The following is a 26,104-nucleotide window of genomic DNA, read 5'->3' as shown; positions in this document are numbered from 1 at the left end:
GGCTGGGAATGGGGGCCGCTCCGGACTTCCGCTGCCAACTACAAGGGGGCGGGTCCGAGGGGGGTTAGCCGAAGTTGTAGGCGGGGCGCGAGGTTCTAGTACCCGAGCTCATACTAGGGACGGGAAGTCGCGACCAGAGCCATTGGAGGGCGCGGGGACTGCAACCCTAATCAGGTACGGGCCCTGAGAGGGTGTGCTGGGGTAGGGGTGGGGGTGAGAGTGAGAGTTCCTCCGAGGGAAGGGCGACTGGCCCCAGGGGTTACCCCCTGGAGAGGGTAGCTTCGGTCCCCAGATTGAAATAGGAGCTGTCGCCTGCTCGGTCCTCGATCTTCTTCTGTCCAGCCTATCTCCCTAACCCTAATGCCCCTCTCCCAAAACTGCCCTGCAGCTTCCGAGACCCGGAATCTGGCATTGTTATGTTGGTTCGGTATCTGACGTTTTTCCCTCTGCTCTGCATTATTTTTTATCTTCACCAAAAAACGATGTTCAAAGATAGATAAATCTAAAAACAAAGATAGATAAATCTATTATCCTTGTTTTGTTAAAAAGTATAAGCTACTGAAAGATGAAACGATTGCCTAAGGTCACACACAAAATTCAGTTCATTTCAGAAAAGCTTCTTGAGTGCAAAATATGTGCCTAAGAATGAGAGATAATGAGAAAAAATTGTTTCAGCCCTTAACCTCAGTGTTTGCAATCCATTTGGGGAGACCAGGTTTTTTGTTTTGTTTTCATATTTGAATCTTTGCTGACTTGCTCCTTTAATATCAGACACTTAAATCCTCAAGAATTGGGACCTCATCATTAATTTTTTTTTGGAGATGGAATCTCACTATGTTGCTCAAGCTTGGTCTCAAACTCCTGGGCTCAAGCCATCCTCTCGTCTTGTGGGCCTCACAAAGTGCTGGGATTACAGGCATGAGCCATCATGCCTGGCCACCTGATCATTTTTTTAACTTTTTTTTGGTATCATAAAAGCAATACAGATACATAGTTTTAAAAATCAAGCACTACTAAAAGAGTTAAAATGAAAATAGCCCCTGCCCAATCCCTCCCTTCCCTTGTTCCTGCTGGAGGTAGAAAGGCAGCTGATGTTATTCATGTTAGTAGAAGACTCTCCCACCCCAAGCATTTCTCTTTATTTTGTAATAAAATCATGTGACCTTTTTAGACCACAAATATGCATGAATTCTGTTCTGTTAGGCTCAGGCTGCAACAAGCATAAGTTTCAGTTTCCTAAATAGACACCAGCTGGCAGTGAGCAGGGAACAGTGGGGAGAAAGATGCATGGGACAGCCTGCTTGGTGACAGGCAAAAACCAATTTGTTGTTCTTTTGAGACAGAGTCTTGCTTTGTCACCCAGGCTGGAGTGTAGTGATGTGATCTCTGCTTACTGCAACCCCTGCCTCCTGGGTACAAGCCATTCTCCTGCCTCAGCCTCTTGAGTAGCTGGGATTACAGGCAACAATTTTAAGTGAAGTTTCAGGATCTCACAAAGTTGATAACCTATAATCATATTCAAGATTCACAGGTCATAAACGTGTCATATTCTTGGGATTGAGCCACCCATTGCACAGCATTTAGATGTCTTCTAGAATGGAGCTCCTCCTTCCTATATGGAGGGCAGTTTATATGGTGTACTTACCTGACCACCAAAAAGATTTGGCTCCTAAAAAAGCTTCAGGTGGCCGGGCATGGTGGTTCACCCCTGTAATCCCAGCACTTTGGGAGGCCAAGGTGGGCAGATCACCTGAGGTCAGAAGTTCCAGACCAGCCTGGACAATATGGTGAAACCCCATCTCTACTAAAAATACAAAAATTAGCTGGGCATGGTAGTGGGCGCCTGTAATCCCAGCTAGTCGGGAGGCTGAGGCAGGAGAATCCCTTCAACTCGGGAGGCAGAGTTTGCAGTGAGCCGAGATCGTGTCACTGCACTCCAGCCTGGGTGACAGAGCAAGACTCCATCTCAAAAAAAGAAAAAAAAAAAAAGAAAAAAAAAAGCTTCAGAGCCAGCAGGGATCATGCTGTAATAAATACTTAACATCAACACTGATCTTTAAATGCTTTAGCACAATCAAATATAAATAACAAACACACACATAAATGCAAAATAAATGAATTAGGGAGATAGATGAAATAAGATTGTGGAAATAGTAATGTTTGTTAAAGCTGGATGGTGATCCTTGTACTATTCACTCTACTCTAGTGTGTATTTGAAAATTACCATTAGGCTGGTTATGGTGGCTCATGCCTGTTAATCCCGGCATTTTGGAAGGCTGAGGCAGGCGGATTACTTGAGCTCAGGAGTTTGAGATCTGCCTGGGCAACATGGCAAAATCCCATCTCTACAAAAAATTAGCTGGCATGATGGCACACTCCTGTAGTCCCAGCTCCTTGAGGGGCTGAGGCAGAGAATGGCTTGAACCTGAGAGGTCAAAGCTGCAGTGAGCCAAGATCATGCCACTGCACTCCAGCCTGGGTGACCAAGTGAGACCCTGTCTCAAAAAAAAAAAAAAAAAAAGAAAGAAAATTCCCATTAAAGCACAAAGGCCCACTTATTGAAGCTATTAAAATACAGGTTGGGGCCGGCTGGGCACAGCGGCTCACGCCTGTAATCCCAGCACTTTGGAAGGCCGAGGTAGGCAGATCACGAGTTCAGGAGATCGAGACCATCCTGGCTAACACGGTGAAACCCCATCTCTACTAAAAATACAAAAAAAAAAATCAGCCGGGCATGGTGGCGGGAGCCTATAGTCCCAGCTACTCGGGAGGCTGAGGCAGGAGAATGGCATGAGCCCGGGAGGCGGAGCTTGCAGTGAGCCAAAATCACACCACTGCACTCCAGCCTGGGCAACAGATCGAGACTCCATCTGAAGAAAAAAAAAATACAGGTTGGGACCACAGTGGCTCATGCCTGTAATCCTAGTACTTTGGGAGTCCGAAGTAGGTGGATCACCTGAGGTCAGGAGTTTGAGACCAGCCTGGCCAACATGGCAAAACCCCATCTCTACTAAAAAATATACAAAAATTAGCTGGGCGTGGTGGTGGGTGCCTGTAATCCCAGCTACTCAGGAGGCTGAGGCAGAAGAATCACTTGAACCAGGGGGATGGTGGTTGCAATGAGCCAAGATCATGCCACTTCACTCCGGCCCAGGCAAAAGAGTGAGAGTCCATCTTAAAAAAAAAAAAAAAAAAAAAAAAAAAATACAGATTAGGCATTCCTAATCTGAAAAATTTGGCTCCAAAATGCTCCAGTGAGCATTTCCTTTGAGTGTCATGTGGGTGCTCAAAAAGTTAGATTTTGGACCATTTCAGATTTCAGAGTTTTGGATTAGGGATGCTCGACTGGTAAGTAATGCAGATATTCCAAAATCTGGACAAATCTGAAATCCAAAATGCTTGGAATAGCAGATACTCAACTGGTAGCACTCCCTGGAAGAATATGCACCAAACTGATAGCAGTGGTTACTTCTGGAGAGGAGGGGAAAGAACCAAGATTAGCAGTAGGATCAACATATATTTTAATGTTTTCTGTATTTTTATTACTTGTATAATTTAAACATTTTAAATTAGTAATAATGAACAATCATGAAACTATGGATGATTTAGTCCAGCAAAATATCCAATTGGGAACCCTCATCCTTCTGACGCAGAGCCCAAATGGCGCAGTGGGAAATGCTGCAGAATCTTGACAGCCCCTTTCAGGATCAGCTGCACCAGCTTTACTCGCACAGCCTCCTGCCTGTGGACATTCGACAGTACTTGGCTGTCTGGATTGAAGACCAGAACTGGTGAGGCCTTCAGGAAGTTGGGGGAATGAAAAAGGTGGTTCCTTACTTCTGGGCCCCCGGGATCCTGGAATCATTAATGGCAGGAAGGGGTTGGAAAGCCTCAGGACTACAGTAACACTGCAGAGACACTAATACTTCTTATTCCTGGTGCCCAGGCAGGAAGCTGCACTTGGGAGTGATGATTCCAAGGCTACCATGCTATTCTTCCACTTCTTGGATCAGCTGAACTATGAGTGTGGCCGTTGCAGCCAGGACCCAGAGTCCTTGTTGCTGCAGCACAATTTGCGGAAATTCTGCCGGGACATTCAGGTACTTGGAACGGTTGGGAGTGATGGGGTAGCACTGGGAGCTGAGCATAGAGGAGTAAGGTTTGGAGAATAGAATAGTACCTGGAGGTGGAAAGGGAGACGGGAACAAATGTGGGGAAAGGAGGACAGAGTCTGGACTTGGGGAATCACTAGCAGAGAGAAGGGTTGCATATACGTGACACTGTTGGGAGGATGCTATGGTGAAAAGACAAAGGGCTAAGAACCCCGAAGGAGGAGGAAATACTGTGGACATTGGTGGGGAGGGTCTAGGGCAATAGGTCATTGAGAGTGGTTGAATTGGATCAATCCTTTCTGTTTACCTATTCTAGCCCTTTTCCCAGGATCCTACCCAGTTGGCTGAGATGATCTTTAACCTCCTTCTGGAAGAAAAAAGAATTTTGATCCAGGCTCAGAGGGCCCAATTGGTGAGGACAATTCAGTGGTAATGTTGGAAACTCCTGAAGTAGAGAGGAACCATGGAAAGGACTCAGGGAGTTGTCTCAGAACAGGATCCCCCCGACATCCTGTGGTATAATTTCAGGCCTGAACTTAAGGCATGAAAGGCCAGAGTTAAAACGTGCTCAGAGCCTCTTTTTTCAGGAACAAGGAGAGCCAGTTCTCGAAACACCTGTGGAGAGCCAGCAACATGAGATTGAATCCCGGATCCTGGATTTAAGGGCTATGATGGAGGTTAGTAGATGTGGTAGGAGTTAGGGTTGACAGCGTTCAGCCTAACACCTCCCTGAGAAGCAGCCTCATCGGGGTCCTCTCCCCTCTGCAGAAGCTGGTAAAATCCATCAGCCAACTGAAAGACCAGCAGGATGTCTTCTGCTTCCGATATAAGATCCAGGCCAAAGGTAGGAAGCACATTGAGGGGCTGGAGAAAGATAAGTGCCTGCTGAGAAGCCGGAGCTGGAAGTGAACAGGAGAAAGCTCCGATGAGCAGTAGTCACTGTCAGACACACCCCACTGACTACAGTCCTGCTGCCGTGCAAAGCTGGAAGTGCTTTGTGGAGGCTGAGCTGGAGGTGCAGCTGAGAGACAGTAAATGTTGAGGAAATGCATGGAAAACTAACAGTGTTTTATTTGAGGGGGTGTCTGGTCCAAGCATGACCATTCAGAATTTGCCTGAGGGTCCCACAGGTGCCTGTGCTTTGCTTGGTTTCCCTTTCTTCCTCCACAAAATTCCTCCTTCCTGACTCTGACTGAGACCCCAGTCAGGAAGGAGAGGAAAGAACCCCTGGACTGACTCCTGTTCCCACCATCCAGGGAAGACACCCTCTCTGGACCCCCATCAGACCAAAGAGCAGAAGATTCTGCAGGAAACTCTCAATGAACTGGACAAAAGGAGAAAGGTGGGAGACAGAGGACAGAACATGTGGGCAACAAGGACCTGGAAAAATGAGGGATGTGGGGACCCTGGTCCTCTAGCGCTGGCTTCTTTGTTTCTTCATCCCCAGTTGGGTGGTGGAGGGTGAAAGGGAGAGATGCTCAACACTCACATTATCTCTTTCCCAGGAGGTGCTGGATGCCTCCAAAGCACTGCTAGGCCGATTAACTACCCTAATCGAGCTACTGCTGCCAAAGTTGGAGGAGTGGAAGGCCCAGCAGCAAAAAGCCTGCATCAGAGCTCCCATTGACCACGGGTTGGAACAGCTGGAGACATGGTGAGAGGTACCACCCCAACCCTCGTCCTCGCCATGCGCTGTGATTTGTAAGTTGCAGTGCCCTGCATATAGCAAGAGATACTGTTCTCTATTTGTCTCTGCTCCCCAGAATGAGCCCTGCTCCCTGCTGACTGCAGCTCTATTCTGCTCCTCATCCTCACCACGCAGGGAGCCCAGAGCCCAGTCTCCTTCAGGGAAAGGAATGAATTAACCCACAATCTGGTTTTTCCTTCTTTTTTAATCACCCAGAAATATATATATATGTATTTTTTTTTTTACTGCAACGAATACAATGACAAGAAAGGAAGGAAGGAAGGAGGAAGAGAAAATTACCTATTACCTAGCTTATTAAACAAAAATGGAATCATATTGTCCATACTATTTTGAAATCCATGGGGTTTTTTTTAAGCTTAACAGTATTTTTTATATATATATATATATATATATATTTTTTTTTTTTTTTTTTTTTTGAGACGGAGTCTCTCTCTGTTGCCCAGGCTGGAGCGCAGTGGCACGATCTCAGCTCACTGCAACTTCCAACTCCCAGGTTCAAGCAATTCTCCTGTCTCAGCCTCCCGAGTTGCTGGGATTACAGGCACACACCACCATGCCTGGCTAGTTTTTTTGTATTTTTAGTAGAGACGATGTTTCTCCATGTTGGCCAGGCTGGTCTCAAACTCCTGACTTCAGGTGATCCACCCAACTTGGGCTCCCAAAGTGCTGGGATTACAGGCGTGAGCCACCATGCCCGGCCAACAGTATATTATATTTATCCATGTTATTTCTTATGTCCACACAACAGTCCCCTATATGGTGGTAACATAATTTAATTAATGAACTCCTATTTTCAGCTATTTAGGTTATTTTCAATTTCTTGTTACCTTTTTCCAGGAAACGCTATATTTTATGGTAATTATATTGTGTTGTAGAAAAATCACTAGTGTGTCCTCCAACATACTTGAAAAATACCTACTGTTTTCAATATTTTCTCATTTAAAAATTTATTATAATTTAGTCTTTTAGAAATATACCAGGCCAGGCATGGCGTCTCATGCCTGTTATCCTAGTACTTTGGAAGGCTGAGGCAGGAGGATCACTTCAGTCTTGGGGTTTGAGACCAGCCCGGGAAACATAACAAGACCCCATCTCTACAAAAAAAAAAAATTTGTTTTTTAATTAGGCATGTCCGGACACAGTGGCTCACACATGTGGCCAGCACTGTGGGAGGCCAAGGTGGGTGGATCACTTGAGGTCAGGAGTTCAAGACCAGCCTGGCCAATGTGGTGAAACCCCATCTCTACTAAAAATACAAAAATTTGCCAGGTGTGGTGGCGCATGCCTGTATTCCCAGCTACTCAGGAGGCTAAGGCAGGAAAATCACTTGAACTCGGGAGGCAGAGGTTGCAGTGAGCTGTGATCATGCCACTGTACTCCAGCCTGGGTGACAGAGCGAGACTCCGTCTCAAAAAAAAAAAAAAAAGATTAGGCATGGTGGCACACGCCTGTAGTCCCTAGCTACTCAGGAGGCTGAGGTGGGAGGATTGCTTGAGCCCAGGTGTTGGAGGCTGCAGTGAGCCATGATTATACCACTGTAGTCCAGCCTGGACAACAGAACGAGACCCTGTCTCTAAAAGTATATATGTACACATACCATAATACCCAGCTACTGAGGAGGCTGAGGCAGAAAGAGTGCTTGAGTCCAGGAGTTTGATGTCAGCCTGAGCAATATAGCAAGACCCTCACCTCTTAAAAAAAAAAAAAGTAGATTAAAAAAATACCACAATTGCTCAGGTAGATTGAAAAACAGGCATATAGTACTTATGGTACAGGACCAGCATGCATGCATGCATGCATTGATTGATTGATTGATTGATTGATTGAGACAGGGTCTCTCTCTGTCTCCCAGGCTGGAGTGCCTGGCCTTAAGTGATCTGCCCACCTTTGCTTCCCAAAGTGCTGAGATTACAGGTGTGAGCCACCATGTCAGCTGGCGAGGCTTTTTAAAAGATAGTTCCAAGTGTTACAGCTCTTTTAGGATTTGTCTAGCAGGCTTTCAGGTTTTTGCCAGAAACCACCCCCACCCCCACCCCCACCAAAAAAAAAAAAAAAAAAAAAAGATAGTTACAAATGTTTCCCAGAATAGTTGTCCCAATCGAATCTATTTTCTCATGTGTAGTGTATGGTTGTTTTCCTGTCACCACATTGCTGATTATTATTATTTTTAATTATAGAGACAGTAAAGTACAGTAGTTAAAAATGTGAGTTGGGGCTGGGTGCAGTGGCTCACACCTGTAATCCCAGCACTTTGGGAGGCCAAGGTGGGCGGATCACCTGAGGTCAGGAGTTCAAGACCAGCTTGGCCAACATGGCAAAACCCCGTCTCTACTAAAAATATATATATATAAGTTAGCCGGGCGTGGTGGCACATACCTGTAATCCCAGCTACTCGGGAGGCCAAGGCAGGAGAATCTCTTGAATCCAGGAGGTGGAGGTTGCAGTGAGCCAAGATCACACCATTGCACTCCAGCCTGGATGACAAGAGAGTGAGACTGTCTAAAAAAAAAAAACAAAGTGTGAGTTGTACAATGAGACTGCCTGGGATCACATACAAGCTTCATCCCTTACTAGTTGTATGACCTTAAGCAAGTCACTTAACCTTTCTGTGCCTCAGTTTTATCATCTGTAATGTGGGGAAAATAATAGTACCTGCCTCAGAGGGTTGTTTTGAGGATTAAATGCATTAATATGTGGAAAGGGCTTAATATAAGTTGTACATAGCATATGAAAACTGTTATGTTAAATCTATTAGCAGTTTTATATGTGAAAATAGCTTTGATTTTCATTTCTTGGATTATGAATCATGTTGAATAATCCTTTATATGCTTCCTGGATTCTTTTTTTTTCTTCCCCCCAGTCAGTTTCTGACTCTTCACATATTTACAGAGAGATCTTGGAACCTGGATGGGGGAATCCAGGAAACTCATGGATTCCTTCTTCCTGAATTTTATCACCCAGGTTCACAGCTGGAGCAAAGCTGTTGTTTCACCTGAGGCAGCTGCTGAAGGAGCTGAAGGGACTGAGTTGCCTGGTTAGCTATCAGGATGACCCTCTGACCAAAGGGGTGGACCTACGCAACGCCCAGGTCACAGAGTTGCTACAGCGTCTGCTCCACAGGTCTAGAGGCCAGGCAGGAACCCTGGGGGAAAGAAGGAACAAGGGAAGCCATTCTTACAGATACTGAGCTATATATTCTCTCCACACCTCTCTCTCCTCAGAGCCTTTGTGGTAGAAACCCAGCCCTGCATGCCCCAAACTCCCCATCGACCCCTCATCCTCAAGACTGGCAGCAAGTTCACCGTCCGAACAAGGTTGGCATTCCAGAACTCATTCCCACTTCCTTTTTCCAACCCTGCCACTGTGTATTTTCTGGCTTTACAGCTCTTCCCACTCTTGGCTTTTTCTTCTCTTTCCCTGCAATCTCCCTACCTCTTATAATCCCTCTTCTCTTTTTCAAACATCTAGTCTATCCGGAAGGTTGAGGTTGACCACTTTCCCCTATCCCCCTTCCTTCCCCCAGGCTGCTGGTGAGACTCCAGGAAGGCAATGAGTCACTGACTGTGGAAGTCTCCATTGACAGGTAAATTGGAGCAGGTGAAGGGTGGCCAGGACACGGGCTGCTGGGGTGGAGGAGATACTCACTCTTCACAACAGGGCCCTAGGGCTATCTCCTTCCTCCTTCCAATCCTACCTCACAGAAATTATAATTCATTTCTTTTGTTGAACACTTACTTTGTGACATGCAGCATGTCAGCTACTCATTTAATTGTCACACCAACCCCATGAATAAACTATTACCAGTGCACTGTACAAACAAAGATACAGGCTTAGAGAGACTGATTACATCTCTTCTCAAGGCCACATAGCTAGTGAGCTCAAGTCGGGTTTGAACCGAGGTCTGTCTGATCCCAAAGACGAAACTCCTAACTTCCATACTCTTTTGCCCAATGATTTTTTTAAATTTATTTCTTTTCAGGAATCCTCCTCAATTACAAGGGTAGGTGCTTGACAAGGACACTGCAAACATCTGTACAGTGTATGACCTGCAGAACCACATTCGGCAGCCCTGGTGGCACAAACAAGGAAGAGGGGGATTTGGGATATGGACAAAGGGAGATGGCGAGATCTGAAATGAAGTGGAACTTCTGTTTTTTTTTTTCTGCTGAGTTTTTAGAATAATTCCATTCCTTGTCTCCATGTATCTTCCTCCTGGAACAGCTTCCGGAAGTTCAACATTCTGACTTCAAACCAGAAAACTTTGACCCCCGAGAAGGGGCAGAGTCAGGGTTTGATTTGGGACTTTGGTTACCTGGTAAGAATAGTTTGTGACCTATGCTTTTATTACTATTTTTATTTTTTTGAGACGGAGTCTCACTCTGTCCCCCAGGCTGGAGTGCAGTGGTGCCATCTTGGCTCACAGCAACCTCCGCCTCCCGGGTTCAAGCAATTCTTCTGTCTCAGCCTCCTGAGTAGCTGAGACTATAGGCACACACCACCATGCCCGGCTAATTTTTGTATTTTTAGTAGAGATAGGGTTTCACCATATTGGTCGGGCTGGTCTCGAACTCCTGACCTCAGGTGATCCACCCGCCTCAGCCTCCCAAAGTGCTGGGATCACAGGCATGAGCCACCATAGCTGGCCTGCTTTTAGTCCAAAGGAACAGGGGTTGGGGGAAGTTCCCAGGGCTTGAGAGGTCTTGAAGCCAAACAGGGGTTCCAGGGACACTAGGGTGCCCACTCTGGCATTTTCTCTCCTTCCCTTCAATTCACAGACTCTGGTGGAGCAACGTTCAGGTGGTTCAGGAAAGGGCAGCAATAAGGTGAGATCTGGACAGAGGACTCGAGGCAGGGGGAGCTTGCCAAAGAGCCTTCTGATGACTATGTCTTTGGCTGTCCCAGGGGCCACTAGGTGTGACAGAGGAACTGCACATCATCAGCTTCACGGTCAAATATACCTACCAGGGTCTGAAGCAGGAGCTGAAAGTGAGTGAAAATGGAGGGCAAGGAGAGAGAAAGCAGCTTTGGAAGAAGGCATAAGAAGGGGATAAACAGAAGCCTCTTGGGGTGGGTTAGCACTCCTTTCCTCTAACAAATACCTGCAGCTAGAAACATCACATCCCTCTCTGTGACTCCTGTCTTCTCCCCAGACGGACACCCTCCCTGTGGTGATTATTTCCAACATGAACCAGCTCTCAATTGCCTGGGCTTCAGTTCTCTGGTTCAATTTGCTCAGCCCAAACCTTCAGGTAGGGGAGTGGGGCCGACAGGTCAAGGCGCGAGAGGAGGGGTGTGGAAGCTTGGTGTGATAGGTTGCTTCTGAGCCAGCCTACACTGCTCCCACCCCTGCAGAACCAGCAGTTCTTCTCCAACCCCCCCAAGGCCCCCTGGAGCTTGCTGGGCCCTGCTCTCAGTTGGCAGTTCTCCTCCTATGTTGGCCGAGGCCTCAACTCAGACCAGCTGAGCATGCTGAGAAACAAGCTGTTCGGTACAGATTTCCTTTTCTCTCAGCCTTTCCCCAGCCTTAGTCTTTTCTGTCCCTCTGTCCTATCTATCCCAGGACCCCTGGCTTCCCTCATCATCTGTCTGTGGCTATCTGTCCCACAGGGCAGAACTGTAGGACTGAGGATCCATTATTGTCCTGGGCTGACTTCACTAAGGTAACTCCCTGAATCCTGTGGAGCTGCTGGATCTAGCCCACATTCCAAATACTGGCCTTCCCACGTCCCTCCTTCCCTACACCAGAGGCAACTCCTCAGCTTTTGCTACCTTTCCATTCCTCCTCCAGCGAGAGAGCCCTCCTGGCAAGTTACCATTCTGGACATGGCTGGACAAAATTCTGGAGTTGGTACATGACCACCTGAAGGATCTCTGGAATGATGGGTAAGGCCTTGGTCACCCTTCCCTCATGGGCTTGTGCTTTCCGGGCTTGAGAGTGGAGTCTCTGCACCCTCACGTGGCAAGCAGGGAGAGAGAGCAAAGACAGGTGCAGGCCACGTCTCCTCACATTTGTTAACAATAATAAGGCCGGGTGTGGTGGCTCACACCTGTAATCCCAGCACTTTGGGAGGCCGAGGCGGGCGGATCATGAGGTCAGGAGATCGAGACCATCCTGGCTAACACGGTGAAACCCCGTCTCTACTAAAAATACAAAAAATTAGCCGGGCGTGGTGGCAGACACCTGTAGTCCCAGCTACTCAGGAGGCTGAGGCAGGAAAATGGCGTGAACCTGGGAGATGGAGCTTGCAGTGAGCCGAGATTGCGTCACTGCCCTCCAGCCTGGGTGACGAGCAAGACTCCGTCTCAAAAAAAAAAAAAAAAAAACAACCAATAATAGCCATAAACAGTGTTTGTGAAGCATCTCCTACATTCCAGAGCTTGATGGGTGCTCTTCATTAATTCTCTCATCTCATCCTTACAACCATGCTGAGTGGTGGGTTTTGCCAGCTTCATTTCATGTGAGGAAACTGAGTTTCAGAGAAGTTAAAGAACTTACCCAAGGGACACAGTTGATATTCAAATCCAGGCCTATGTGACTCCAAGCCCATGCTCTTTCCACCACACTGCCTACCAACTTGTGTAGCATTTGGCTTTTAAAAGTGCTATTCATGACCAGGCACGATGGCTCACGCCTGTAATCCCAGCATTTTGGGAGGCCGAGGTGGGTGGATCACCTGAGGTCAGGAGTTTGAGACCAGCCTGGCCAACATGGCGAAACCCCATCTCTATTAAAAATACAAAAATTAGCCGGGTGTGGTGGTGGGCGCCTGTAATCCCAGCTACTCAGGAGGCTGAGGCAGGAGAATCGCTTGAACCCAGGAGAGAAGGTTACAGTGAGCCAAGATCGTGCCATTGCACTCCAGCCTGGGTGACAGAGCAAGACTCTGTCTCAAAACAAAACCAAAAAAAAGTGCTATTTGTGGCCAGGCGTGGTTGCTCATGCCTGTAATCCTAGCATTTTGGGAGGCTGAGGAGTACAGATCACTTGAGCCCAGGAGTTCAAAACTACCCTGGGCCACGTGGTGAAACCCCGTCTCTACGAAAAATACAAAAGTTAGCCAGGCATGGTGGTGTGCACCTGTGGTCCCAGCTACTCTGGAGGCTGAGAGGTGGGAAGATTGCTTGAGCCCGGGAGGTCGAGGTGGCAGTGAGCTGTGATCATGCCACTATTCTCCAGCCTGGGTGACAGAATGACACCCTGTCTCCCAGAAAAAAAAAAAAGTGCTGTTCATCTGTGTGATCTCACTGAATCTTCGTACTTCAAACCCTCGGAAGGTGGCTATTGTCAGCAAAGTGAAGTGACTTGTAAAAGATAAAAAAAAGCTAAGTGGCAGGGCTTGGTCCAAAGCCTGGATTCCAAACCTGGGCTGTTTCTCCATACAAGGGGAGCAGGGAGGCAGGGGCCTGGTGGGGCAGGGTGTTGGGCGGTGTCTCACAGCTGCTCTCTGTGCTCCAGACGCATCATGGGCTTTGTGAGTCGGAGCCAGGAGCGCCGGCTGCTGAAGAAGACCATGTCTGGCACCTTTCTACTGCGCTTCAGTGAATCGTCAGAAGGGGGCATTACCTGCTCCTGGGTGGAGCACCAGGATGATGGTCAGCTGCTCTGCCCTGCCATTCCCACAGCCTCTCCTTTCTGCCTGGCTCCCCTCTTGCCCCTCTGCCTGCCCTTGGCTTCCCTGGCTCTGAACTGAATCCCTCAGCTGGTTTGGGACTGGGCAGCCAGAGCAGAGAGCTCCAAGGCCCGGCCTCTTCCCTCAAGCCCGCCTGTTCCTGCATTCACTCTCCAGACAAGGTGCTCATCTACTCTGTGCAACCGTACACGAAGGAGGTGCTGCAGTCACTCCCGCTGACTGAAATCATCCGCCATTACCAGTTGCTCACTGAGGAGAATATACCTGAAAACCCACTGCGCTTCCTCTATCCCCGAATCCCCCGGGATGAAGCTTTTGGGTGCTACTACCAGGAGAAAGGTGGGAATCGTTGACATACTTCATTGCTAGATTGCAGAGATCTACCAGACATCCATAGATCCCACTCCTTCCTTTAAAGCATGGGAAAACTGATATCTAGAGGAATTAAGGGATTCGTCCATGGGATACTGCTGGTTACTATGGGGATGAGACTGCCAGGACCATCTGCACTAGGGGAACCTCAGGCTATATGTCTGGCCCACTGATCTTCTCTGCTTCTTGTATATGTTCCTCACAGTTAATCTCCAGGAACGGAGGAAATACCTGAAACACAGGCTCATTGTGGTCTCTAATAGGTGAGATATGAACTCTTCATTCATCCTCCCTAATCCTTTTTGGCTCTGCTTCAGTGAATCGTCAAAAGGGGGCATTACCTTCTCCTGGGTGGAGCACCAGGATGATGGTCAGCTGCTCTGCCCTGCCATTCCCACAGCCTCTCCTTTCTGCCTTCTCCTAAGCTGCCCTATTCCAGTCTCCCCAGCCTTCCCTCCCTCCTAGCCCACTCTAGTTTTTTCTGGTTCTAGTCTCTCCTATCTCATATTTTTCTGCTGCCATCCTTAGGTTGTCTCCACAGGGGTTTCTGGATAATAATGATCATAATCACTGGTGTTAATGGGTACCTACTTGATGCAAGCATGGAGCTTTTTTTTTTTCCAGACAGGGTTTTGTTCTGTCGCCCAGGCTGGAGTGCAGTGGTGTGATCCTGGCTCACTGCAGCCTCGACCTCCTGAGCTCAAGCAATACAGGCATGCATCACCAAACTCAGCTAATTTTTTTTGTATTTTTTGTAGAGATGGGGTCTTACCATGTTGCCCAGGCTGTTCTTGAACTCCTGGACTCAAGCAATCCACCCACCTTGGCCTCCCAAAATGCAGGGATTACAGGCGTGAGCCACCACACCCCGCATATATATATATTTTTTTTTTTTTTTTTTTTTTTTTTTTTTGAGACAGGGTCTCTGTTATCCAGGCTGGAGTGCAGTGGTATAATCATGACTCACTGCAGCCTTGACCTAGGGGTTGAAGCAATGCTCCTGCCTCAGCCTCCCAAGTAGCTGAGACTACAGGCACACGCCATCACACTCAATCACACTCAGCTAATTTTTTAAATTTTTTGTAGGGATGGGGTATCACTGTGTTGCCCAGGCTGGTCTTGAACTCCTGGCCTCAAGCAGTCTCCTGCCTTGGCCTCCCAAATTGCCGGGATTGTAGGAATGAGCCATGGCACTTGGCTGGGGATAGAATTTTTTTTTTTTTTTTTTTTTTTTTTGAGACAGTCTCACTCTCATTGCCCGGGCTGGAGTGCAGTGGTGCAATTTCAGCTCACTGCAACCTCTGCCTCCCAGGCTCAAGCAATTCTCCTGCCTCAGCCTACTGAGTAGCTGGGATTACAGGCGAGCGCCACCCATGCCTGGTTAATTTTTGTTTTTTTTTTGAGACAGAGTCTCGCCCTGTTGCCCAGGCTGGAGTGCAGTGGCACGATCTCAGCTCACTGCAACCTCTGCCTCCCAGGCTCAAGCAATTCTCCTGCCTCAGCCTCCTGAGTAGCTGGGACTACAAGCGCGCACAACCACCACACCTGGCTAATTTTTGTATTTTTAGTAGAGACAGGGTTTTACCATATTGGCCAGGCTGGTCTCAAACTCCTGACCTCATGATCCGCCCACCTTGGCCTCCCAAAGTGCTGGGATTACAGGCGTGAGCCTCTGCACCCGGCCTAACTTTTGTATTTTTAGTAGAAACAGGGTTTCACCATGTTGGCCAGGCTGGTCATGAGCTCCTGGCCTCAAGTGATCTGCCCGCCTCAGCCTCCCAAAGTGCTTGGATTACAGGTGTGAGCCACCATGCCTGGCCTGAGAGTTTATTATGCGCCAGGCACTAGGCTAAATGGTTTGCATTTATTTTCTCATTTTATTGAATCTACAAAATAGTCCTGTGAAGTAAACACTGTTACTGTTTTCAGCTAAGGAACTGGATTTAGAGTAGTCAAGTTTTGTACCTAAGGTACGTGGCTAATGATACAGGTCTGTTAGATTCCGTAGCCCTGATTTTAACCACCCTACTGCCTCTCAAGAATTACTAGGTATTGTTCTCATTTATAGATGATAAATCTGAGGCTCAGAAAAGTTAGGCCACTTGCCTAAGGTCCCCCAGCCAGGATTCAAACTCCAGGAGGCCTGATTCCAAACCCATGCTCTTTAGCCCTCCGCCCTACTGCCTTCTTAGACTAGCTTCTGCTTATTCTACCATTCCTGATTTCATTTGAACCACTGAGCCCTGCCCCTTTGTCTGTCTTTGGGTATCCAGACAGGTGGATGAACTGCAACAACCGCTGGAGCTTAAGCCAGAGCCAGAGCTGGAGTCATTAGAGCTGGAACTAGGGCTGGTGCCAGAGCCAGAGCTCAGCCTGGACTTAGAGCCACTGCTGAAGGCAGGGCTGGATCTGGGGCCAGAGCTAGAGTCTGTGCTGGAGTCCACTCTGGAGCCTGTGATAGAGCCCACACTATGCATGGTATCACAAACAGTGCCAGAGCCAGACCAAGGACCTGTATCACAGCCAGTGCCAGAGCCAGATTTGCCCTGTGATCTGAGACATTTGAACACTGAGCCAATGGAAAGTAAGTGATGAGATGGAGCTATGGAAGATGGCACACATTCCCTTTCCTACCTCTTCTCCCTCTCCCATTACAGAAAAAGCTGAACTCCAAGCTCCTCATTGGAGAGAGGTCCATTCTGTGATTCCTTTTTTTAGGAATTACACATGCCTTCCCCCACCTCCCTGCTCTTTCATCCCACAAGTTCCCACTCAGGCTCTTCCCAGGCCTTTCCTGCCATCCTCCCTCCCTTTCCCTGCTGGGTTGGGAACTCCTAACTAAGATCGGGGCCTCACTTTTCTCTCTGGATTACCTAGTCTTCAGAAACTGTGTAAAGATTGAAGAAATCATGCCGAATGGTGACCCACTGTTGGCTGGCCAGAACACCGTGGATGAGGTTTACGTCTCCCGCCCCAGCCACTTCTACACTGATGGACCCTTGATGCCTTCTGACTTCTAGGAACCACATTTCCTCTGTTCTTTTCATATCTCTTGCCCTTCCTACTCCTCATAGCATGATATTGTTCTCCAAGGATGGGAATCAGGCATGTGTCCCTTCCAAGCTGTGTTAACTGTTCAAACTCAGGCCTGTGTGACTCCATTGGGGTGAGAGGTGAAAGCATAACATGGGTACAGAGGGGACAACAATGAATCAGAACAGATGCTGAGCCATAGGTCTAAATAGGATCCTGGAGGCTGCCTGCTGTGCTGGGAGGTATAGGGGTCCTGGGGGCAGGCCAGGGCAGTTGACAGGTACTTGGAGGGCTCAGGGCAGTGGCTTCTTTCCAGTATGGAAGGATTTCAACATTTTAATAGTTGGTTAGGCTAAACTGGTGCATACTGGCATTGGCCCTTGGTGGGGAGCACAGACACAGGATAGGACTCCATTTCTTTCTTCCATTCCTTCATGTCTAGGATAACTTGCTTTCTTCTTTCCTTTACTCCTGGCTCAAGCCCTGAATTTCTTCTTTTCCTGCAGGGGTTGAGAGCTTTCTGCCTTAGCCTACCATGTGAAACTCTACCCTGAAGAAAGGGATGGATAGGAAGTAGACCTCTTTTTCTTACCAGTCTCCTCCCCTACTCTGCCCCTAAGCTGGCTGTACCTGTTCCTCCCCCATAAAATGATCCTGCCAATCTAATGTGAGTGTGAAGCTTTGCACACTAGTTTATGCTACCTAGTCTCCACTTTCTCAATGCTTAGGAGACAGATCACTCCTGGAGGCTGGGGATGGTAGGATTGCTGGGGATTTTTTTTTTTTTAAACAGGGTCTCACTCTGTTGCCCAGGCTAGAGTGCAATGGTGCAATCACAGCTCACTGCAGCCTCAACCTCCTGGGTTCAAGCAATCCTCCTACCTCAGCCTCCTGGGTAGCTAGCACCATGGCATGCGCCACCATGCCCTATTTTTTTTTTTTAAAGACAGGGTCTTGCTATATTGCCCAGGCTGGTCTTGAACTGGGCTCAAGTGATCCTCACGCCTTGGCCTCCCAAAGTGCTGGGATTATAGGCATGAGCCACTGTGCTTGGCCAGGATTTTTTTTTTTTTTTTTTTGAGATGGAGTTTCTCTCTTGTTGTCCAGGCTGGAGTGCAATGGTGTGATCTCGGCTCACTGCAACCTCCGCCTTCCGGGTTCAAGTGACTCTCCTGCCTCAGCCTCCCCAGTAGCTGGGATTACAGATCTGCACCACCATGCCCAGCTAATTTTGTATTTTTAGTAGAGACGGGGTTTCTCCATGTTGGTCAGGCTGGTCTCGAACTCCTGACCTCAAGTGATCTGTCCACCTCGGCCTCCCAGAGTGCTGGGATTACAGGCGTGAGCCACTGTTCCCAGCAGGAATTTCTTTTTTATAGTATTGGATAAAGTTTGGTGTTTTTACAGAGGAGAAGCAATGGGTCTTAGCTCTTTCTCTATTATGTTATCATCCTCCCTTTTTTGTACAATATGTTGTTTACCTGAAAGGAAGGTTTCTATTCGTTGGTTGTGGACCTGGACAAAGTCCAAGTCTGTGGAACTTAAAACCTTGAAGGTCTGTCATAGGACTCTGGACAATCTCACACCTTAGCTATTCCCAGGGAACCCCAGGGGGCAACTGACATTGCTCCAAGATGTTCTCCTGATGTAGCTTGAGATATAAAGGAAAGGCCCTGCACAGGTGGCTGTTTCTTGTCTGTTATGTCAGAGGAACAGTCCTGTTCAGAAAGGGGCTCTTCTGAGCAGAAATGGCTAATAAACTTTGTGCTGATCTGGAAATGTCTCATCTCTGATCCTCTTTATTTCCCTGCTCACAAAGGCTAATGTTCTTAGGGACACCAACAAGCTGCACAGGAATGAAGTCAGAAAATTGTGGCCTCTCTTCCATCCACCCCTCTACATTCCTCTTGTCATATTTCTTCTTCCCTTCCTGTTTGGAGTAGCCCCTCCTGTCCGTTAGACTCTTCTAGGGGTGCTGGGAGCTATATATGCATTGTGGGGGGAGGGATGAGTAGTTATATAACTGTCTCATTGTCACTCAGCTGATTGTTGGCAAAGCCAAAACACAAACCTGTCTGGATTTTTCTGACTTCAAACCCACACTTTTTGATGCTGTGACTATGGAAAAAAAAGGAAAGGAAATAATCACTAGCCACTTCCCCTCATCTTTTCTTTTTTTCAAAGAATTTCAGCTACCCTTGAGTTACCAAACTTCCAAAGGGACTCCAAGGCCGGGCATGGTGGCTCATGCCTGTAATCCCAGCACTTTGGGAGGCCGAGGCAGGTGGATCACCTGAGGTCAGGAGTTCAAGACCAGCCTGACCAACATGGTGAAACCCCATCTCTACTAAAAATACAAAAATTAGCCAGGCGTGGTGGTGCGTGCCTGTAGTCCCAGCTGCTTGGGAGGCTGAGGCAGGAGAATCGCTTCAACGTGGGAGGCGGAGGTTGCAGTGAGCAGAGATCACGCCACTGCACTCCAGCCTGGGCAACAGAATGAGACTCCATCTCAAAAAAAAAAAAAAAAAAAAAAAAAAAAAGGGATTCCAATTGTCCTTTGAGAGGAAAGTCCCATTATTCTAGGATATTTATCTTCATTTCCCTGGAATGCCCTTCCTGCTCAAAGCTGAACTCTGACTTTTGATCCTGCAATGATCAGGACTCCCGTCTTTGATCAGATATACTCTTGGCCAAGAAAGCAGGGAAGGAGACACTGGATCAGGGAGCAAGTGACCCTTAGGTATGATCCCACTTCCTAATCTGGTAATCCCATTCTGCTTGCTCAGCCATATAGGAATTAATACTAAAGAGATCCCAGTTATTCTATACACCAGGGGGTCATGAGAAAATATCATTCTCCACCATAGCCCTTCAGAATAGAAGAAAGGGATGCATATTGTAGTCTCTTGGCCTTATTTTTCCATCGATTTCTCTTTCCCAATTGAGCCTAGAAATTAGACTCATATAGCCACAAAAATAAGACTTTATTGAAAAAAGTACATAATTCAATATAAATACAATAAATAATCCTCCCCAAACTGTCCCCAGGAGGATAAATAATCCCCAAATTTCCCTTCCCATCTAATAAATACTCAACCTTATCATAGGTCAGCATCACATGTCAGTCAGTATTGGTAATTTTCAACATATGCAGGTCCCACTAAAATTAATGGACTAATTAACCTGTTGGCTCACAGGTGCCTGGGGTGGTAGATTTATCTTGGCCTTGCTGGGCCATGGAGATCTGAGTGCCATCCTTGAGCTGCTGCCTTTAGGGACTCAGGGTTGCTGCTCCATGGGCAAAGACCCGGGCGGCTACAGCCACAAAGGCCTGGAGGCTGCGAAGGATTTTGAAGCGGAGAAGGAGACGCTGCCATGGCTGGCTGGGACTGAGGCTTGGAATCTGCTGAGTCTCCCAGTGGTGACCCTCAGGCTGAAAGGACATAGGACACAGTCAGAGAAGACTCTAAACCCTTAACCCCCAACCCTCTGTCTCTGACACCTGCAAGCCCCCATCCTCCACGCCCCTACTTCATACCTGCAGGAGTTGGCTGAGGCCCAGTAGGGAGGCATGAAGCTGGCCCACAGGGCTATCAGGGAGCAGAGAAGGCTCCCCTGTGAAAATATCCGATCCTAGCAGCTTCTCATAAAAAATCAGACCCTGGTGGATCCTTTGCAAGCAGAACTAGGGAGAAAAGAAAGCAATGAAAGAGGACACCCTCTTCCTACTCCATTCACTGAAGACTCACCCAGTTTCTTACTATTTTCAGACACAACTTCTGGTTTACCATGGTACCCAGCCATGTTCTCAGTCCCCTCTCCTTCATTGCCCAGCCACATCCCAGTGGTACCTGACTGTTGTCCCTGAGTCCTTGGGGGTCACAGCCATCTCCACACTGGATATGGGGAACATCATTTGTAGTCTCTTCATCTCCCTCTTCTCTTAGATCCTGGAATGAAGGAAGAGGTGGAAAGAATGAAGAAGTAAGATAGTACTTCTGAAGCCAACCTGGACCCTCAGGCCCATGACTCTCCCAGGAACCCTACTCTCTTGTCCTCTCTTACTCCCTAATGGCCTTCAACCCTCCAGCTTCCACTCAAGGTCACGGTCTTCTGCCACAGCCTTGGAGAGCCTGGACTCCTGTTAGGCTCCAGGGGCTGCCACTCACCATGTGTCCCACTAGTGGATGTGCACTCCAGGCCAGTGTGCAGAGCTTCTGTGAAAGCTGCTGGCACTGAGTCCAGGCAGGGCTGCTGCCCCCAGGCACAGCTCTGCCCTGAGCTGTCCAGGGCAGCAGCAACAGCAGCATTACAGCTCTGCTCCCCAGCATCTTTTTGCCTTCTTCTCAAATCTGGCTGGCTCTGCGCCTTGCACCAGTCCTGGTGGAATCTCTGCCCACTTCCACTTGCTTTGAGCCTGATTCTCTCTGTTCAGCGCGTCTCTGGTTTGGTTCCCTCAGTTGTTCACCGAGTTTGTAAGCTGCTTCCTGTTGTTTTTCTCCCTTTGTCTCTGAGTCTTTTAAGGTCCCTGCATTGTAAGGCCCGCCCTTTATACCAGCAGGTGACTCACAGCAGGTGGGATTCCCCTCCCTGCATCATCCCCCTCTGTGGGGAGCCCAGGTATGCAGCCTCAGTTCCAGGGGAAATGAGTAGTGTGGTTGCTGTGGCTAGAGGCCTGGGATGGGACACATGTGTAATGCTCTCCAGGAATCGAAATAGCTATAGAAGGGGCGGGGATGGGGGGCACAGCGGGGATGGGGTGGGAGGGGTAAGGGAGAACAAATATTTAAATTAATCTGGTCTCAAGTTCCTTCCTGTTTGATCTTTCCCTGATCTTTTTGCCTCTCAAAGCTATACCCCTACCCCACCCCAAACCTAATTTCCTCACTTCCTCCTGCTTGAGGAAAAAGCAAAACAGAGAAACATCCATTCATCTCCCAATAGGATGGTGAGCTGTTTGCAATGAAGTTTGATTCCTACCTGATGCCCCCTATTAGGAATAAACGGGCTTCTTTTTCTCAGTTGGAAACAACATTATTTCAACTGGATGGTCCTGGTTTCATGGGAGAGAATGCGCATGAAGGAACTTGGAGAACTGGGAAGCCAGTATGAGGTCTTATTGCTCCCCATTTCAGGCCTCACAGTGGAGGTTAGAAAGGCTCTTGTGGGAAGAGGGTTATTGACTAAGAACCACCTGACTCCTCAACCCTAGTGGCCCAAGATTTCATAGGCTCTATAAGAGTTGGATGATGTTTTTTTCAGGACTAGTGCAAATAAGGCCTGGAAGTTCAACTTAGACATTCCAGCACCTAGTCCCATGGCCTCATTCTGACGTCATCCAAATTGTTCTGGGACCCTCCACTGGGGTCGGGGCAGTCCCAGCTTTGGACCCCATGGCTAGGAAGCCCAGGAGTTCTGGGTAGTCGAAGGTGCACTGTCAATGACTCTGGCTGGTCCTTCAGCTTGTTGCATCCATGGGTAAAATCCACTGACACCGATTTCATCACCCTCCATGATGCAACATCGAGTGAAACAGCTAAGAGTGTGAGGTTGGGCGTGGGAGTGGAAGGTGGTCCAAAGCCGGGACTGCCCCGACCCCAGTGGAGGGTCCCAGAACAATTTCGAAGACGTCAGAATGAGGCCATCGGTGACCACACAGCTGGCTCCCAAAGCCTCCCCCAAGAGGTTGACCCTTTTCTTCTGAGAAACTTGTCCTGAATGGAGGTCTCCCTTCCCTTAGAGCTATTCAAAACTGCCCAATGACACTTCTGGTTCAAATATTATGATTCTGTAGGTATGAGCTAAGAGAAGAAAAAAAAATATTACGATTCTAAGTTAAATCTACCAAGGGCCGGGTACAGTGGCTCACGCCTGTAATCCCAGTACTTTGGGAGGCCGAGGCAGGCGGATCATGAGGTCAGGAGTTCGAGACCAGCCTGGCCATCATGGTGAAATCCTGTCTCTACTAAAAATACAAAAATGAGCCAGCACGGTGGTGGGCGCCTATAGTCCCAGCTACTCGGGAGGCTGAGGCAAGAGAATCGCTTGAAGCCAGGAGGCAGAGGTTGCAGTGAGCCGAGATGGCGCCACTGCACTCCAGCCTGGGTGACAGAGCAAGACTCTGTCTCAAAAAAAAAAAAAAAAAAATGGAAATCTACCCTTTAGATTAAACATTTCCAGCATCAGAGAATTATCTGAGTTTGGGTGAGAACTGTTTTGCCTCTCTCCCTAATAAGGTGGACACCAATGGAATAAGGAAAGGGGAGGGGGCAGGATAGGGAGTTCACCTTACTTGTGTACAACGTCTCCTATGTTCTTCCCATCTCTGGTCCCCATTCTGGGAGCCCTAAAAGATAAGAGATGAAAGAAAGATGAAAAGGAGGAGGAAGTAGAGCCTGGGGGATGGGATGAGAGGGACAAGGGTGAGTTGGAGGCACAGGGCTCTGCCTCTTTGTTTCACTTCCTGGTGCTGCAGGAGTTGGGTAGGAAGAAGGGTTGGTGGGGAGATTGTGGGACTGTTGCGTGGCAGGAACTACATCCAGGGCTACAACTGACCTGGAGCTATAAGGAGCCCTTGACGTCAGCTGGGCCTAAACCGTTATGCAAATCGCATTCACAAGACACTCCTAGGCAGGTCTTTCCAGTTGTATGCCTAGACTCCAAATCAGTTGAAGTTCCCCCAGGTGGTTAATAATGATGGCTAATATATCCAACTCTCGCTTAATGCCAAATACTTTGTCTAAGCACTTTACATGTACTAAACTATTTAATTTTCACAACAACCCTTTAAGGTAGATACTATTACCCTATATTACAGAGGAGGAGGCTGAGGTGCAAAGATAAGCAATTTGCCCAAGATCACAGAGCTTCTAAGTGGCTAGAATTCCTTTTTTTTTTTTTTTTTTTTTGAGATGGAGTTTCGCTCTTGTTGCCCAGGCTGGAGTGCAATGGTGCCATCTCATCTCACCGTAACCTCTGCCTCCCGGGTTCAAGTGATTCTCCTGCCTCAGCCTCCCAAGTAGCTGGGATTACAGGCATGCACCACCATGCCCGGTGGCTAATTTTGTATTTTTAGTAGAAACAGGGTTTCTCCATGTTGGTCAGGCTGGTCTTGAACTCCCAATCTCAGGTGATCCACCCGCCTGCGGCCTCCAAAAGTGCTGGGATTACAGGCATGAGCCACCACACCCAGCTTAAGTGGCTAGAGTTCTAATGCAGACAATCTAGCATCAGATCCTGCATTCTTTTTTGTTCTTGGTTTTTGGGGGGTTTTGTTGAGACAGGGTCTCACTCTGTCACCCAGGCTGGAATGCAGTGGCACCATTTCCGTTCACTGCAACCTCCACCCCTGGGACTACAGGCACAAGCCACCATCCCGGTCTGGATCCTGAATTTTTAATCACTGCATTACACTGGATACTGTACGCCAGGTATGGTGGCTCATGCCTGTAATCCCAGAACTTTGGGGGGCCGAGGCAGGAGGATCGCTTGAGCTTAAGAGTTCAAGACCAGCCTGGGTAACGTGGCAAAACCCCACCTCTACAGGAAAAAAAAAATTATCTGGGTTTGGTGGCCAGTGCCTGTAGTTACAGCTAGTTGGGAGGCTGAAGTGGGAGGATCGCTTGAGCCCAGGAGGTTGAGGCTACAGTGAGTGAGAGGGCCAATGCGCTTAAGCATGGGCAACAGAGTGAGATCCTGTCTCAAAAAAAAAAAAAAAAAAAGGCTGGGCGCGGTGGCTCACACCTGTAATCCCAGAACTTTGGGAGGCCGAGGCAGGCAGATCACCATCTAATATTACTGTATTAGAAACAGTAATTACAGCTGAGCTAAATAATCTATGTCATGGATGCTCTTGTGTCTCCTCACAGTATCCTTTTTTCTTTTCTTTTTTTTTTTCTTTTTTTTGAGACGGAGTTTCGCTCTTACTGACCAGGCTGGAGTGCAATGGTGCCATCTCGGCTCACTGCAACCTCCGCCTCCCAGGTTCAAATGATTCTCCTGCCTCAGCCTCCCAAGTAGCTGGGATTACAGGCTCCCGTCACCAGGCCCGGCTAATTTTGTATTTTTAGTGGAGACGGGGTTTCTCCATATTGGTCAGGTTGGTCTCGAACTCCCGACCTCAGGTGATCCGCCCACCTCGGCCTCCCAAAGTGCTGGGATTACAGGCGTGAGCCACTGCGCCCGGCAGACATGGATTATTTAGCCCAGGTTATTAGGGATCTGTAACTCTCATGGGTCTGTTAAGTCTTTCTCAATTTGAGACCTCAAGATGGAGATTTCTTAAAGTGTAGGAACTGTCTATGTCTCTCAGCATCCACCTTTTTCGGAGATTCTATATCTAATGACCTGCGAAGTCAGATCAAATCAGTTTGAGAGACCATCTGTGTTTTTCTCTTGGTCTAGGCTCTAGGTAGGATCTCTGACTGGGTATAGGACCCCACCCCTCTGAGTCCTAGAAATTTAAATTCTTGGTTCCTTTAATGAAGGTCTATTTACCAGCCTTTATTGAGAGAAATGTTATAGAATTGAATCCTCCATGAGGAATGTCTCCCATCAGAGTCCCTTTATGTGGCCTTTAGAAACAGTAATAACAGCTGAGCTAAAGTGCTCTGAGACATCTCACAACCTAGACCCATTTCAAAGTAATTAGAGTTCACAGGACCCACGAATCCTTCAGAATAACAAGTCCCAATTTGCCATGCTCATCCCCCTCTGAGGGATAACGTCCAGCCAGCCTCAAGAGCTAGGGGAATTTGATAACCAGGGGCATCTTGTTACCCGGGAATGTTACCGGGGTCTCTGGGGAGGGAACAATCACGGATGGGAGTTTCAGATGGATGCCTGTAGAAGATGCAGCCACTTGGACTGTGTCAGGAGTCCGGCTCCCGCTTCCTTTTTTTTCTCTCCCATATCTGGAAATAATAGGAAATGCCAGCGAGTTTTGGGGGCAACAGGGTCAGAGGTGGCGGAGTGGCTCACTAGGGCACCGCAGGAAGAGGAGGTAGACTAAGCCCCGCTGGGAATACCCAACAGCGACTCCTAGTGCTTTGCCTTGTGTGTCCCTTATTTTAGAGTTCCTAAAGTTATAGAAAGCATAAAAGTTTGGTTTTCAAACCTAGACGTAATTTTGTTCAAGAAGACTAAAAACAGAGTTACTTTCTAACGCCACCCAACAAGTCCGGCGTCTGGCTGCGTTTGTCCCACCGGCGCCCCGTAACCTCTTTTTCCGGCGCGTGCGTCACACGCTC

At 48.1% G+C, this 26,104-nt stretch overlaps 2 protein-coding genes and 1 pseudogene across 18 annotated transcripts, besides 12 other annotated features; 2 read left to right on the top strand and 1 right to left on the bottom strand.

Moving 5' to 3' along the window:
- STAT2 (signal transducer and activator of transcription 2) lies at positions 125 to 18,635 on the top strand. Of its 17 annotated transcripts, none has more exons than NM_001385115.1 (24): positions 125 to 174; positions 3,654 to 3,791; positions 3,947 to 4,100; positions 4,441 to 4,524; positions 4,700 to 4,789; positions 4,881 to 4,956; positions 5,369 to 5,454; positions 5,618 to 5,766; positions 8,782 to 8,940; positions 9,042 to 9,134; positions 9,344 to 9,403; positions 9,800 to 9,820; positions 10,042 to 10,135; positions 10,596 to 10,643; positions 10,723 to 10,806; positions 10,971 to 11,069; positions 11,203 to 11,308; positions 11,428 to 11,480; positions 11,609 to 11,703; positions 13,277 to 13,413; positions 13,608 to 13,790; positions 14,029 to 14,086; positions 16,097 to 16,407; positions 16,701 to 18,635. In NM_001385115.1, exons 2-24 carry the CDS (start codon positions 3,661 to 3,663, stop codon positions 16,841 to 16,843), a joined length of 2,514 nt encoding a protein of 837 aa, NP_001372044.1. In that variant the 5' UTR covers positions 125 to 174; positions 3,654 to 3,660; the 3' UTR covers positions 16,844 to 18,635. The 17 variants fall into 17 exon arrangements, 15 of the variants coding, with proteins under 15 accessions (NP_001372044.1, NP_938146.1, XP_011537000.1 ...); NM_198332.2 differs by having other exon boundaries at positions 11,173 to 11,308; XM_011538698.4 differs by having other exon boundaries at positions 11,149 to 11,308.
- Positions 1,058 to 1,227: an enhancer, noted in NCBI's record as "experimental_29690 CRE fragment used in MPRA reporter constructs". NCBI's record gives its function as "activates a minimal promoter by MPRAs in K562 erythroleukemia cells, with activity observed for both the introgressed and non-introgressed 12:56752874 variant alleles {active_cell/tissue: K562}" and the evidence as "EXISTENCE:reporter gene assay evidence [ECO:0000049][PMID:34662402]".
- Positions 1,058 to 1,258: a biological region, named in NCBI's record as "ATAC-STARR-seq lymphoblastoid active region 6493".
- Positions 1,059 to 1,258: an enhancer, noted in NCBI's record as "active region_6493". NCBI's record gives its function as "activates an Ori minimal core promoter by ATAC-STARR-seq in GM12878 lymphoblastoid cells {active_cell/tissue: GM12878}" and the evidence as "EXISTENCE:reporter gene assay evidence [ECO:0000049][PMID:35858748]".
- Positions 7,783 to 7,842, top strand: RNU7-40P (RNA, U7 small nuclear 40 pseudogene; annotated as a pseudogene).
- Positions 12,789 to 12,838: a silencer, noted in NCBI's record as "silent region_4558". NCBI's record gives its function as "represses an Ori minimal core promoter by ATAC-STARR-seq in GM12878 lymphoblastoid cells {active_cell/tissue: GM12878}" and the evidence as "EXISTENCE:reporter gene assay evidence [ECO:0000049][PMID:35858748]".
- On the bottom strand, positions 19,822 to 21,348 carry IL23A (interleukin 23 subunit alpha). Its single transcript, NM_016584.3, has 4 exons — positions 21,026 to 21,348; positions 20,708 to 20,806; positions 20,395 to 20,541; positions 19,822 to 20,289 (listed from the first exon to the last, which is right to left on the bottom strand). Exons 1-4 carry the CDS (start codon positions 21,185 to 21,187, stop codon positions 20,128 to 20,130), a joined length of 570 nt encoding a protein of 189 aa, NP_057668.1. The 5' UTR covers positions 21,188 to 21,348; the 3' UTR covers positions 19,822 to 20,127.
- Positions 20,401 to 20,570: an enhancer, noted in NCBI's record as "experimental_29688 CRE fragment used in MPRA reporter constructs". NCBI's record gives its function as "activates a minimal promoter by MPRAs in K562 erythroleukemia cells, with activity observed for the introgressed 12:56733531 variant allele {active_cell/tissue: K562}" and the evidence as "EXISTENCE:reporter gene assay evidence [ECO:0000049][PMID:34662402]".
- Positions 20,836 to 22,035: an enhancer, noted in NCBI's record as "BRD4-independent group 4 enhancer chr12:56731981-56733180 (GRCh37/hg19 assembly coordinates)". NCBI's record gives its function as "activates an origin of replication core promoter dependent on BRD2, P300/CBP, MED14 and CDK7 cofactors, and independent of BRD4, by STARR-seq in HCT116 cells {active_cell/tissue: HCT116}" and the evidence as "EXISTENCE:reporter gene assay evidence [ECO:0000049][PMID:35650434]".
- Positions 21,053 to 21,347: a silencer, noted in NCBI's record as "tiled region #7971; HepG2 Repressive non-DNase unmatched - State 18:Pol2, and K562 Repressive non-DNase unmatched - State 14:Gen5'". NCBI's record gives its function as "represses a minimal TATA promoter and a strong SV40 promoter by Sharpr-MPRA in HepG2 and K562 cells {active_cell/tissue: HepG2 | K562}" and the evidence as "EXISTENCE:reporter gene assay evidence [ECO:0000049][PMID:27701403]".
- Positions 21,058 to 21,357: an enhancer, noted in NCBI's record as "active region_6492". NCBI's record gives its function as "activates an Ori minimal core promoter by ATAC-STARR-seq in GM12878 lymphoblastoid cells {active_cell/tissue: GM12878}" and the evidence as "EXISTENCE:reporter gene assay evidence [ECO:0000049][PMID:35858748]".
- Positions 22,613 to 23,460: an enhancer, noted in NCBI's record as "H3K27ac-H3K4me1 hESC enhancer chr12:56730556-56731403 (GRCh37/hg19 assembly coordinates)". NCBI's record gives its function as "activates a minimal SCP1, AML or CMV promoter by ChIP-STARR-seq in primed H9 embryonic stem cells {active_cell/tissue: H9 hESC(primed)}" and the evidence as "EXISTENCE:reporter gene assay evidence [ECO:0000049][PMID:30033119]".
- Positions 25,795 to 25,964: an enhancer, noted in NCBI's record as "experimental_29686 CRE fragment used in MPRA reporter constructs". NCBI's record gives its function as "activates a minimal promoter by MPRAs in K562 erythroleukemia cells, with activity observed for both the introgressed and non-introgressed 12:56728137 variant alleles {active_cell/tissue: K562}" and the evidence as "EXISTENCE:reporter gene assay evidence [ECO:0000049][PMID:34662402]".
- Positions 25,795 to 26,101: a biological region, named in NCBI's record as "ATAC-STARR-seq lymphoblastoid active region 6491".
- Positions 25,882 to 26,101: an enhancer, noted in NCBI's record as "active region_6491". NCBI's record gives its function as "activates an Ori minimal core promoter by ATAC-STARR-seq in GM12878 lymphoblastoid cells {active_cell/tissue: GM12878}" and the evidence as "EXISTENCE:reporter gene assay evidence [ECO:0000049][PMID:35858748]".

The sequence above is a fragment of the Homo sapiens genome, chromosome 12, assembly GCF_000001405.40.
Source record: "Homo sapiens chromosome 12, GRCh38.p14 Primary Assembly".
In the NCBI taxonomy this organism is placed as follows: Eukaryota; Metazoa; Chordata; class Mammalia; order Primates; family Hominidae; genus Homo; species Homo sapiens.
The sequence above is the reverse complement of the archived record's forward strand: the minus strand, read 5'-3'. Positions and strand labels throughout refer to the sequence as shown.